Source organism: Homo sapiens, chromosome 3, assembly GCF_000001405.40.
Source record: "Homo sapiens chromosome 3, GRCh38.p14 Primary Assembly".
NCBI lineage: Eukaryota > Metazoa > Chordata > Mammalia > Primates > Hominidae > Homo > Homo sapiens.
The window spans coordinates 77,298,151-77,312,466 of record NC_000003.12 but is presented as its reverse complement, the minus strand read 5'-3'; the positions used below and the strand labels follow the sequence as shown (position 1 = coordinate 77,312,466).

The 14,316-nt window shown below is 35.1% G+C and overlaps 1 protein-coding gene across 41 annotated transcripts in view, besides 2 other annotated features; it reads right to left on the bottom strand.

The window, feature by feature from the left end:
* Window positions 1-14,316, bottom strand: part of ROBO2 (roundabout guidance receptor 2) — a 1,743,290-nt gene that overhangs the window by 337,498 nt on the left and 1,391,476 nt on the right. The gene's annotated exons all lie outside the window — the stretch shown is intronic.
* Window positions 468-1,667: an enhancer, noted in NCBI's record as "CDK7 strongly-dependent group 2 enhancer chr3:77359951-77361150 (GRCh37/hg19 assembly coordinates)". NCBI's record gives its function as "activates an origin of replication core promoter dependent on BRD2, BRD4, P300/CBP, MED14 and CDK7 cofactors, with strong dependence on CDK7, by STARR-seq in HCT116 cells {active_cell/tissue: HCT116}" and the evidence as "EXISTENCE:reporter gene assay evidence [ECO:0000049][PMID:35650434]".
* Window positions 13,022-13,222: a silencer, noted in NCBI's record as "peak4724 fragment used in MPRA reporter construct". NCBI's record gives its function as "represses an SCP1 promoter by STARR-seq MPRAs in K562 erythroleukemia cells {active_cell/tissue: K562}" and the evidence as "EXISTENCE:reporter gene assay evidence [ECO:0000049][PMID:32103011]".

Genomic DNA, 14,316 nt, shown 5'->3' with positions numbered 1-14,316 from the left:
GTGTCCTTGGTTAGAGACAGGCATATGAGCTTTTCTGTTTCTTTAAATGAACTTCTAAAACTGGCTTCATAAAATGCTTCCAAATAATACAGGTAAAACTCATCATTTGCCAACAATATATGAATGATATGATACAAGATGGAGATGAAAGCATACTTGAAACCACTGACTGGTTGTTTTGAAAGTTGTCTAGATATGTAATCACAAAAATACTCAATAAACAAAACTTCTAACTGTTTTTATTTATGTAGTATCTGGTGTCAGACATAAAAATAAGCTGAAAAACATCTGGAATTCCCCTGGCTGTCACATATATATGCTCAAGAAGGATAAAAACTTAAAAAATTTTAAAATTTTCTGAATCATTTTTTTTTCTTTTTTGAGATGTAATCTCGCTGTGTCGCCGAGGCTGGAGTGCAATGGGGTGATCTCAGCTCACTGCAACCTCCGCCTCCCAGGTTCAAGCAGTTCTCCTGCCTCAGCCTCCCCAGTAGCTGGGATTACAGGTATGCACCGTCACATCCAGCTATCTTTATATTTTTAGTAGAGACGGGGTTTCATCTTGTTGGTCTGTCTAGTCTCCAACTCCTGACCTCAAGTGATCTGCCCACCTCGGCCTCTCAAAGTGTTGGGATTACAGGCGTGACCCACTGCGCCCGGCCCTGAGTCATTTGTTTTGAGTGATGTATGAAAAGACGAAAGAATGAGACAGTTGTTTATTAGAAACAAATGATTATGAAAAAGAGATTAGTGATCCACATTAAAGCATATCCTACTAACATACAACAAGAACCCTGAGAAGTTAAGAGGTTCAGTACTTTTCAAGTGAACCCAGTTCAATCCCCATTTCCTGTGAATCAAGATGACTGTCGTATGGGAACTTTGATTTAACGCTGAATCCCTTTCGTTCTTAATCACTGACCCAGTGGTTTCAAAACATTTTCAGCAATTACATTCTCACCAAAGATCATGATGATATGATGAACTTAGCATTAGATCTTAGATGAGTTAAGAGCAAAACAATAGAAGCCAATTACATAGCCACATATATTTCTAATTGACTAAATCTTCTAAAATCCAGTTTTGCAAATATACAGTTTATCTGTGGAATCTGACAAATCATGTATAAGACATATTTGATTGGAGCTACCGAAAGCACCGGGATATTTCCGGTGCACATACAATAGTACAATATTATTGGAAATACCTGATGTATGTAGTTTTGTGGCCTTTAGCAAAAACCAGAAACAAAGCTATAAAGAATGACAAGCAAAAATTATAACCCAGTCAACTAATGAGAAAAAGAAAACATTAGAAATGAATAAATATATTGGGGTAAATCTCTTATTACCAAAATTGATTTTTCCATGCATCTTAGATTTTGTTTTGATTAAATAAATTAAATGAGCCAGAAAATAAATTTAAACCTACCCACAAAAATTCATAATAAAATGTATAGTGGATTACTTCTGCTATGACATTTCAATTCACTCATCAGAAGACATCTGATTACTCATGAGTGCTCATATTACATTAGCCTCTTCACTCATGACCAAAAGGCTGTATTAGACCTAATCCATTATGGAGTTTCTGTTCTTTTATTTTTTTTTTTTCACTTAAAGCTCAAAACTACTATCCACACTGAATTCTATATTAAATAGTAATTCTATATTTAAATAGATATTGTATTGGTAAATCTGGGTCTTATAATACAGGGTTGTTCTAAATTATGTTTCATCTATTAGGATATTGGATAACTGTTCTGAAAAAAAAGGCTTGAATCTTAAGAGAAACAAGATAATGAAGCTTTGCACCATACCATTTAATTTTGAGACATCTCAATTGGGAAGAAATGCACAATTTTTCTGAAAGACACAATTGCTCTGTCTGGAAATTAATATCTTTCTTTTTCTCCAGAACCAGATTTGAACTGAACTTCAAGACAAATAGACACAAGATCAATCTTTTCTTATATATCCTCAATTTCAGGAATTTTATGCTCCAAACAGAATTAGATCCATTGCCTTGCTTTCTTATCTGCTTTAGAGTTCTCAAGACACAGGAATTCATTTCTCCCGAAATGGGTCTTCAAAAACATCTTTCTCAATTTAATTTCTCATAGGTTCTCAATTGGCTGCAACATTCAATTTGAAGGTGTAGAGATTTACTTTTACCCAAAACTTTTTTTTAGATACCATCAGGCTACAAATAGGGACTAAATTTTACCAATGTTAGATTTAGCTTTTTAAGGACAATTTCGCAATAAACGGGCTCTTAATTTGAGTTTATGTGTACATAAAATTTGATACGTGATCCATTAAAGGAAACGTAAAATAAGAGGAAATTTTCCTCTTTCAGTCACTGAAACCCTAGGAGGGGATCTAACTTTGAATGAAGAATATCTGCATGGCCATGTTAGACCGTACATAGAAAACAAACTTGAAGCTTTTAAACTTTTTTAATGGAAAAAAGAGCTACTGTCTAACTACCACTTACTTTCCATTTTCAGTTACTATGAATTACATGCAGGAAGATTTTACATTAAGGAATGAAGGAAATCACTTTTGGCATTAATTTATTTTAAGCCTTACTGTTGCTGTTTTACAAGTACCACTGCTTTAAAAATCAGTTATCTCTCTATGGACCCTTCAACAGTATCACAGACACAAATGTGGTTCTTGCTGATGTAAATGTTTGATTCCTCTTGGATTGTCCAGAGAAACATTTCAGCTAGGTCAGTGTCTCTAAAGAAGAGAAGGATGATGTTTTGCCTTTGCAGACAGGGCAGTTGCCATGACTCATCTGGGAAGAGAGCTAAAAACCTGGACCAGAGATGAATTTGAGAGCCAAGCTCTTAGTAGTAGTGTTACCAGATAAACACATTTAATACAAGTATTTTTATGTACTAAACTTGGCAACCCTAATTATGAGACTTTCATTATCACACAGTGGCTTCTTCCAGGAGAATCTGAATGAATAAATCTCTCCATAAGCATGAAGGCACATCATAGATAATCAATGGATAGAAGTTCTCTTCAGTCCCTCCAGATGAAAACACCAGAATTTAGGAACAACCAACTACAAAAGAATATTTCCCATTTCTTCTTGTAATTGGTATCACATGCTGCATTTCTCCTAAATCCTCTAAATCTGCTTTTGAGATGGATAATTAAGCACATAAACTTATTTCTGTGAATTATGTATTTACGTATTTATGTATTGTGAGTATATATATGTAAAGCTTAGTAACAACTGGCATTTATTAGAATATATATGAAAGTAAAGGAAAAGGAAAATAAATTAAGTTTTCTTAGATTTTAAGCCAGTGGTTCTCAATCCTAGCTATAAATTGAAATTACTTGGGATTAAAACAAAACAAAATAAAGCAAAAAAAAAAAAAAACAATAAATAGCCGAATCTCAGCCCTATAATATGGGTACCTATGCCCATCATTAGTAGAGTCAGAATTAGAATCCAATGTTCATTTAACCTCTTGATTTATGGTCGAGAAAATATTGGACTAAAAGTTTTGGATCAAGACTGAATCTTGGTTAAGTCTTAATCTTGACCTTGGATTAAATCCCAGATCAACCATTTTCTATACATGTATCTATATAGTCAGTTATTTAACTTCTCTAAGTACAAGTTAGAATCTGAGAGAAATACAATTCTCTAAGAATTAGTTAGAATCTGAGAGAAATACAGTATGTCCAAGTAACCTACAAATTCTGTGCACAATAGAGGCATTTTAGATTTTGGAAAGCTATGAAAATCCCTGGCCCCACTCGTTTCACTGAAGATGATAAGTGGCGATTATCTTTAGTATATATCATAGCTCTATAAAGTTATGAAACCACAAGAATGTTCAGAACTGGTACTATTTAAATTTTTCAACATATATTTTAGTATTGATGTCTAGTATCCAGCATCCATGCTCCTCTGTTTCTCCTGCCAGGGCTCTCCTATCAGTCTATTTGGATATATCCAGCGTCACTGACACAACGTTGGGAGTCCCAGGCCACTTAGGAAGTCTAGGTTCTTTCTCCCACCTAGACTAATGCCTAGGCTCCCCTGAACACCTGACGATGCCCTTGGTTTATCTTTTATTATGCTTTTATTCATCTATCACTAGAAAACTGATGAAGACATTGTGAGTCAGAATGCCAAGAAGGCCAGGGAATCCAGATGAGATCTTCCTGCCTACATAGAACATGACTAAATATCTGGCTTAGACTTGTTATCTCTCACATGAAAAGAACGATTGCCGCATTTTCCAAAAATCTTAAAATTAATATTTAAATTTAACTCTCCTTATATGCAGATTTAATTTGTAGACTTTGTATAAAAGCAATTTAGTAAAAAAAAAAAAAAAGAAATATCTCCTTTCATCAAGGTAAAAACTCATATATTGTCAATATTTTTAATATAATTCAGGTGGTTTCTAGAAGAAATTTCACATTTCCTAGATTTGACAAAAACATCCCTACTCCTACTTTTTTTTTCTTTTTTTGAGACAAGTTTCATTCTGTTGCTCAGGCTGGAGTGCAGTGGTGCGATCTCAGCCCACTGCAACCACCGCTTTATGGGTTCCAGCGATTCTCCTGCCTTGGCCTCCTGAGTAGCTGGTGTGATCTTAGCTCACTGCAACCACCACCTCAGGGGTTCAAGTGATTCTCCCGCCTTAGCCTCCCGAGTAGCTGGGATTACAGGCGCCCGCCACCATGCTCAGCTAATTTTTCTATTTTCAGTAGAGATGGTGTTTTGCTATGTTGGCCAGGCTGGTATTGAACTCCTGACCTCAATTGATCCACCAGCCTCAGCCTCCCAAAGTGCTGGGATTACAGGTGTGAGCTACCGCACCTTGCCCCCACCCCTGCTTTTTCAAAAAGCCTGATAAGTAGTATAAAGAATGGCAGGCCTTCGTGAAGAAGCCAGCAATGGGAGCCCTGGGGAAGGCTGTCAGTAGACTGTTGAAAGAAACATGTCCTTGGTGATAGCTTAGATTGTCCAGTTCACTGCAGCCATTCACTTTGACTTGATTCACTTCACCCCTGTATGCTTTTATGTTTGCAATCCCTTAGCCAAGATGGTAAACTCTACTTTAAAATAGCTAGCTTAATTTCTAGAAAACATTATCTAATGTATAATTTTCCAATATTAAATAAAAAGTAATATTAGTGTTAGGTTACATTGTTCCAACAAAATAAATAATTCTTTTTGGTCAGAGACAACTCACCAGTTTGCCACCTCCCTATCTTTTTCATACCAGCCATCAACATAAATTAACGAGGCCAGGATGCATGTAGGAGGCACTTGATTTCTTATCCAATGAAGTTTATATATCACAAGCACCAGAAAGTGCCCTATTTCTCAGACAGCTATGTTCTGCATGTTAAAGGCTGTAATTGTTCTGTGAAATATTTTAAGGTGACAAGGTATCTATTTTGGCATTGGGAAAGAGGTGGCAAGAATGCATTATTAAATTTTTTAAGGATAACTAGAATGAAAAATGAAATTGCGTATTGTCAGATGCAAAGAGAGTGCCTTTTGTAAACAATGATTTTGTTTCTAAAGGAAGCGAAACACTATTAGCATGACATTTAATTTTCAATTTAAGAATTCTAGAAAAAAATGTTGGGGTGAATGATTGTCCAGTTCACTGCAGCCATTCTAAGATTAAACATTCCTCTGATTTATTTACTAAGTTGTGAGATATAAATGAATATTTTTATTGTAGAATCATAGTAGAAAGATAACTTTCTCCCATATATGGACTGACATAAGTTTTAGAAACTTATGCTATGTGGTATATGTCTCCATCTTTTTAGACCATGATTTTAATTCAAAATTGAATTTGGTTTCTAGAAAATAGTTCACTGGTCTATTAGTGAACTTACCTCTTTAAGACAGGGTCACACAGGATTTTTAAAAATGTGTGTTTATTTTAAGAGAAGCTAAGATTTTACTATAGAAGAAACACTTTTGTTTCATTTTACAGTTTAATGTGAGATATATTTCATCAAATTAACCATCATAGTTTATATCTTTGAGTTTATACATTTGCGTTGCTTTGCCCAAATAATTGAATGCTTTAAAAAGGTGTATATGAATGCATATTTTATTAATAGAATTGTATTTCATATGTACTATAAGAGTTTTCAATTACAAGAAACCATGTGAGAGATTTGTAAAAGGGAGTTTTTAATCCAATTAGAAAAAATAATGTTTCAAAATTTTTAAATAGGATTATTAAAACATTCAAGACTTACATAAATATGTCATTGGTTACTGAATATATGAATACATTATTATAATGAATTTACTATTTCATCAAATTTCAAAACTAAGATAAAACATATTTATTATCATTCAATATTTAAGTGATTTTTCTTTCTATTGTTACTTTTTAAAAGAAGGGGGAAAAATAGAATGTTCTAATTATTTCCTAAACTGGAAATATTTTTGTGTCTCTAGATTTGTTATTTTTGTTTATATAACAATAAAGAAGCTACCTGAAATCAGTATATATTACAGAAAGTCTTCAAAAGAATAAAAGGGCACAGACAGACATACATATTAATCCTTATGTAGATATTCAGGTTCACTCTTGTTCAAATGTTAGAAAGCTAATTTCATACTCCATCTGGAGAACGTCGAATAAATTTAAATTTTTAGTGCTATTGTCCCATGAAAGAAGTCTGATTATTTTTCAAAATTCAAAGATTTTTTTGGTTTGTTTTCTTTTCCTTTTGTTGTGACTTGCACTTTGGCAAATGACAAAATCGGTGCAGAACTTGGAGGAAAGGTGCTACTCTTCAGGCTGAGAAGGTTTCCTTCCATAAGCTTTAATTTAATTTTGACAATGCCCATGTGAACATGGGCGAATTCACAGATTTTAATTTAATGCTTCAGAGTCTCAGATAAAGGGGGAACAGACAATATCTCAACACCATAGACTGTATCCTTCTGTCCTTTTTACATCCCACCTGAGAACACCATCCTCAAATGTGTCAGCTTAGATTGCTGATGTATTGCTGTGCATGGCACATTCTGGGACCTGGAAATGTAGGCAACCTTCAGTTTTACAGTCTCACCCTCAGAAAAAGCCATCAGTGATTTGCTAGGAAATAGAGTGAAGAATGCTACCAAAAGGGCAGTTGAAATCCCTTGTTTTGGCCTCTTTTATGACTGCAAAGGCAATGTTTAAAAATTCCACATTGACAATAAGGTGTTTATTGCACATTTTAACAGCCACACTTGAAGATTATTTATTTTTCAAATGTTACAAAACAAGAGTGAAAATCTCCCTAAAATAAAAGAAAAATCGTCTTCTGCTTTTATTGAGCAACTTTTCAAATACAATTGTACTTAAATTAACTCATTGAGGCCAACAAATAGAGTCCTTATTGAGCAAATAAATATTCCCAAAGGGGTCAGAGAGGTTGAAAGCAGGTTGTTTTAAATACCAGTCACAATAAAGCCCAAAGAGAAATAAGTAATGCAGTACAGAGAACTGCACCTGGTCATTTTTAGCTTAAAATACTGCAGACTTACAAATGCATTTATCAAAACTACAGCTTACGTATGTACGCTCTCCCTAACTGACACGTCACAGACAAATTTACTCCCCTCAAAGAACAATCTGCTAAGCACAATACACAGATACACACACTGTATCTCTCATGCTGTTATTCAACCAGAAAAGATCAAATTTTCTAATACAAATAAAGTGGAAATGGTTCTTCCAATTTAAGGTCCATAAAACACTTATTAAAGATAAAAGCAGGTTATTTAGCAATATTGGCCTTCGTGAGATGCGGTATGTGCCACAGAATGAAATAGAAATTTCAGTGATGGAAAATCATTCTCCTTCCCTCTTGATAGTATAATAACCTTTTAAATCATGTTTGACATTTGTAAGTTGAGTGCGCTGGCAGCCCTGAAAAGCCTCTGCAGTAATATATGTGGCAAACCCTTTCTGGAGCAGTAATCTCATTGCTGCGTCTAACGGCTCTCACTTCATGTGGCCGACTGGGCCCCAAGAGACATATTTGACTCTGCCTTTCTCAAGCCACTGGTTGCTAATGTTCCCTATTATGAGGAAAACAGCACCGTGCCTTCAGGCAATGGCCACTCTGCTAGAGGTACAACGACCAGCCAACCTTCTGCTGAGCTTTTTTTGTTTTAAACTATTAAATATGCACATGCGTTATACAAAAGGGGTTCTTTGTGCTTCAAAACAACAATATGACAGCGATATTTACTCTGCTCCAATTGCTAATCTGACAAGCTCCATCTGGTAAGCAGACCCTTTATCTTCTCATCACCCTAAATCTCTGAAGGAAAGTGGACACTAGCGGCATATGTCCATGGCTGGTCCTTATGCTTAATGAGGTAGAATATTTATAGGTTGAAACTTTAAGGACACCTAGGAGATGTGTTAGTTGATGTTGAGAAAGAAAGCTATCCCACTAAAGAGAGCTACATGAGTCTATTTTCTGTCACACCGCATTTCATTTGGAAAGGAAGCCCAGCACAACCTCTTACAAAGGTGAAGTTGAAATGTGATTTTTCTCAAAATGTTTAGTAATCCTACAGAGCCACCTTCCATGTCCCCAGATACATTTCTGCTTATCCCTAGCACTTGCATATATATATGTATATATATGTATATAAAATATTTCATTGTCAAATAAAGATTGAATATATTCAAGATGTACAACATGATGATTTTATTTTTATGTATATATATACACACACATTGTGTAATGATGAATACAATTGGATTAATTAACACAACCACCACCACCCATTATGTACAAAATATGGTCAAAGTGTACAAACTCAGTTATAAGATACCCCTATATTTTAATTGCCTTGTCTTTATTCTCTACTCAAATATAAGCATTGTGAATGCAATAAATATATATTATTTCATAAGTCCACACAGTAGATGCTCTTAATATTAGTCATTTGAATAAATGTATACATTTTCACTCTGTTATGAACACAGAATACTTATATTTCACACAGGAATAAATGTGATATCAAAAGAAACCTACCTTAGCCCCAAAATCAAATTTACAGACAGGTTATTTTTGTCTTCCATAGTTTATCGTACGGCTTCATTTATCTTGACCTGTTTCAACCATTCAACAACTTAACTAGGGAGTGTCCACTCTGTGTGATCTGTACTTAAATATAAAATATTCTAGACATTCAAACTTCCAAATTAATATGGTACTCCATACCTACAATTTAATCCATAGTGCTTTGTAGCAATATAGAAAGAACATGGCATGGAGGTGCGGTTATACCCACATGCCCAGAAATAAATGTGTAATTGTAGAGAATTAGCAAGTTCTATCTTTGCATTTGGTAGCACATTAAATCCCATGAAATCCGTCTATGGAAGGATTGATTATAATTAAAGCTGATGTGCACATATTAAGGAAATAAATATTAGTGTGTTTTTCTATTCAAAGCTGATAAAACATCTGAGCAGTAAAGAAAAAATATTCCCTTACTCAATTTGTATTTTATATACAACCTAAAGCCAACTTTATCCTATGGGGATTTAAAGGCATCTGAGACTTTGGTTCAGAAGTGGGAAATAAATGATGAAATTTCCTCGGCCATTTTCTGGGTCACTTTCTCAATAAAAAGGTCATAGCCAGCTGCTGTTGTTGCCTTCCAAGTCTATATTTCAGCTATATTAATGCATTATTCTATCTTTTTATCATTTAGAGGATATTTATTGTATTTTCCAATAGATACCTGAAATTACAGTTGACTTTAAAACCTCTTATAATAATCGAGTGAGCTGGAACATGTTAAATAAGAAATCTGGAAATTTGGCATTATCACTTAGATTTGGTGTCCACATCAGTATAACCTTTAAGAATTTCTAGCCAAGAACGCATATTAATTATACAGAAATACACACAGGTACAATTATTGGTTTAATGATCTTATTTGCTGAGCTAGTATGGCCCATAATTGTTTAGGGGTGATTATGGGAGACAAGGAAAGTAAGCCTGTGGAAGACCTAATGAAGACAAATAAGGCTTCAGTCAGAAGAATACTAAACTTGCATTAAGGGCGCACCACAAACAAGACACTGTTCTAAGTAGTTTATATGTATTCATTAGTTCAATCTTTACAACCACCCTATGAGATAGGTACGATTAATATCTTTTTTTTTATTATTGAGAAAACAGACTCAGGTCAGGTTTGGTGGCTCAAACCTGTAATCCCAGCACTTTGGGAGGCCAAGGCAGGAGGATCATTTAAGGCCAGTAGTTTGAGACCAGCCTGGGCAACATGGCTAGATGCTATTTCTATGGAAAAAAAAAAATGTCTTTACTTAGTTTCTATGGAAAAAAAAAGTTCTTTAGTTAGTCAGGTGTGGTGATGCACACCAGTAGTCCCAGCTACTTGGGAGGCTGAGGCAGGAGGATTGCTTGAGCCCAGGAGGTCAAGGCTGCAGTGAGCCATGACTGTGCCACTGCACTCCACTCTGGGTGACAGAGTAAGACCCTGTTTCTTAAAAAAGAAAGAAATAACTTAAAAAAGAAAAAAAAAAAGGAAATTGAAGCTCAGCAAGGTCAAGTAATTTCTCTGAGGACACACAGCAAGTATGTAACAAAATTGGGGAGCTTAACCCCAGAGTGATACATTTAACCACTACACCGTGAATTTAGTAAAAGAGTTACAATATTTGAACGTTAGTTTCTAAAGTAAAAAGAAGGTATCATTTTAACTATGATGAGAACAAAGAGGGCTTAGAAAAAGGGATTTTTCAGTGGAGTGTTTATGCCTAACTTTTCAGATGAATGGCATAGGCCATTTAATTTTGCTTTGCTCATGTGCGAATTTAGATATCCACACCTATATGTATGATAGGAACATTTTAAATATTTGATAAGTGAATGAATTGATAATTGAATAAATATATAGACTGCTGTATATTTATATTATTCTATAATTTTGGTGTAATACATGCATATGCAATTTCAGAAGTGATTGGAGTCTTCATATAAGTAGTTAGGAGCCTCCACTGTACATTGTTTCATAAATTACACTTAGCCAATGCAATTTATTATATTATCAGCTATGGTGGGAACTGTTTTAACACCAGTCTCCCCCAGAATAATTATTCTGATAATAATATTAGTAATAATATTAGGAAATTGGACTCTTTAAAAATCTTATGTAAAGCCTGAATAAAATCATCTTAGAAATCTTTATTTTTTAAAATCAGTAATATATATTTTCAATTTAAAAATATGTCTATTAGGCCGGACACAGTGGTTCATGCCTGTAATCCCAGCACTTCGAGAGACCAAGGTGGGTGGATCAACTGAGGTCGGGAGTTCGAGACCAGCCTGGCCAACATGGTGAAACCCTGTCTCTACTAAAAATACAAAAGTTAGCTGGACATAGTGGTGTATGCCTGTAATCCCAGCTACTCGGGAGGCTGAGGCAGGAGAATTGCTTGAACCCAAGAGGTGGATGTTAGTGGCCAAGATCATGCCACTGCACTCCAGCCTGGGTGACAGAGTGAGACTCTGCCAAATAAATAAATAAATAAATAAATAAATAAATAAATAAATAAATAGTCTATTATTTCAGTTTAGGTTTAAAATAAGCCCCCCAACTCTCCTGTTTTAGGTAGCTGCCCCTAAATGTCTCCTGTAAAGAAATTCTAGAGACATTCATTATCAGAAATGTTGAGACTTTAATAAGAAAACTGATGCAGAGAGGAGATAGTGAGAAAGTAAAAGTCATAGAGTTTATTTAAAAAGTAAGGAAATACCACCTAAATGGGAAAATGGCTAGGTTTATATCTCGCAATTTCCTCTTCCTCTTATCAACAATTTATTTTTTTTTTAAATTTAGTCTGTTAGCATCAGTATTTATGTAGCATAGCAGAGACAGAACTAAAAATTCCAAAGACTGATATAAAAATAACCTCTTCAAAATTAGAAAAAAAGAACAGATGGGTTGGGCTGCTACATTCATGCTCTCTACATTTTACTCAATGTCGTTATAGGAGTAACTGTCTGTTTGGGTTCTTGCCTAAATATCCAGTTAGAGCCTGAATCTTAAGGTACTATTGATTATTTTCAATTCTGAGTAGCTGCTCTATAAACTAAATCAACTCTCCAAATAACTCTTTCTTAGAATAATTTTTGGAATATGTGAGGCAGCATAGCAAATGGTAAAACTCTAGGCAGAGTCTAGAGTTTGAGAAAGAGCAGTAAAAAAAAAAAAAAAAAAATTCATTTCCCTACTGCACAATTTATTTAATTCTATGTCAATTTCCCTTTTGCTGTAAATCTATGCTAACCTGCAAAAGTGATTAAAGTTACAAAATTTGCATTTATGGACCTGTTGTACATATACAATATATAATATGTATGGCAGATTTAAATATTTTTGGGAGAAAGAGTGAGGTATTTTTTTCCAAACTATGAGAATATGATGAGTGACACGGAAACATTTGAATCCCATATTGATTTTCATGACTCTGTCTTCCCTCCTGTTACCCAGGCTTAGAATCTTTGAAACCAACTTGGGGTCTCCATTTCCATTCTCTTACTTTTATCCAGTTGGCAGACATTGCCTGCCACTCACCACTCTATCGTCCCTCTCTGTTGTAATCTGTATTATTATCGTTGTTCCTCTGATTCCTATTTTCAATTAGTCTGACCTGAGATTTTGCAATCATAATCTAAGAAGTCTCCTGATGTGTCCCCCACCCAAATCTCATGTTGAATTATAGTTCCCATAATCCCCACGTATCATGGAAGAGAACCAGTGGGAGGTAATGGAATCATGGGGGCAGTTACTCCTATGCTGTTCTCATGATAGTGAGTGAGTTCTCAGGGAATCTGATGGTTTTATAAGGGGCTTTTTCCCCTTTGCTCAGCACTTTTCCTTCCTGCTGCCACGTGAAGAAGGACGTGTTTGCTTCTCCTTCCATCACGATTGTAAGTTTCCTGAAGCCTCTCCAGCCCCGTTCAACTGTGAGTCAATTAAACCTCTTTCCTTTATAAGTTACCCAGTCTCAGGTATTTCTTCATAGCAGCGTGAGAACAAACTAATATATCTCTAGGCTTTCAGTCCTTCTTATCTCCAGACTAGTCTTCGCTCTCTCTTAAGTTGCTTTTACCAAAACACATCCTGATACCACACCTATCTATTCCATTCTTCTGTCCTCAATTTAAATGTCAGTTTAAACATATGTAGACTAATATTTTAGAATCTAATTCCAACTTGCCATCTCAACTTATATTTTAAAAAATGTTTCACATCCTGTTAAAAAGCACTAATTTTTTTCATTCATGCTTCTCTTTTTCCCTCTTTCTAAAATGCTTTCTTCCTGTTCCTCATCATGCACATCTTACTTATCATTCAATGTCTAATTTAAATTCTACCTTTTTCATGAAATAATCTTGACTCTGGCAATTCTGTTTGCCCTAGAAGATAAAAATAGCCCCTCTATCTTCTGAAATGTCCTGGCTACTGATTTGTTCCAGATCTCACGACACTTTTGTCAGTCAGTGTTTTATTATAATTCTGTACACGTATATCTTATCTTCCATACTGACTATAAGAACTTTCAGGGCAGGGTCTATTGCTTTATCTATTCTACAGTGCCAAGCACACTCCCATGCACACAGGAGGCACAGATGAATGAAGGAATGAATAACAAATTTGTCTGTAACAGAGAATAATTTAAACTCATCTCCTGAAGCCCAACCAAAGTTTTCTGTTCACGGCTCTGCTGAGGATAACTTGCTGTTAGTCAGCTGTGATTGTTACAGTGCAGCTATTACAACAGTGTACTTTCCCAGCAACAAATAACCCTTAATGGTGGTTTCCCATGACTGAAGTAAACCTTCTCCCACTTCAGTTCAGTCTCATATTTTGCCCTGGTCTGAAGGCAGCATGACAGACTAAGAATACAAAAGACTCATGAGTGAGAGAGTCTGGACTCTAGGCATTGCTCTCAAGAATTCCTTAGTTTGGCAAATCATTTCACTTCAATTTTCTCATTTGTTAAATGAGGGGTTGGGATTGGAGTTCCTTTCCAGCTATGAAACTTCATGGAGGTGAAAGGCATAATCTTCTAAGTTTGACCTTTAGAAAATCATTTTCCATGCTTGAACTCCTAAGAGTTATTAGTAAATGGCCCTCTGCGTTTCCTGGTGTTAGTTGGTGTGGTTTCAGTACTTATTCTAAGTTTTAACTTTCAGACTTCGTGTGAATATTATTCAATTCATGCTGAGAATTTTTCTTCATCTAAGT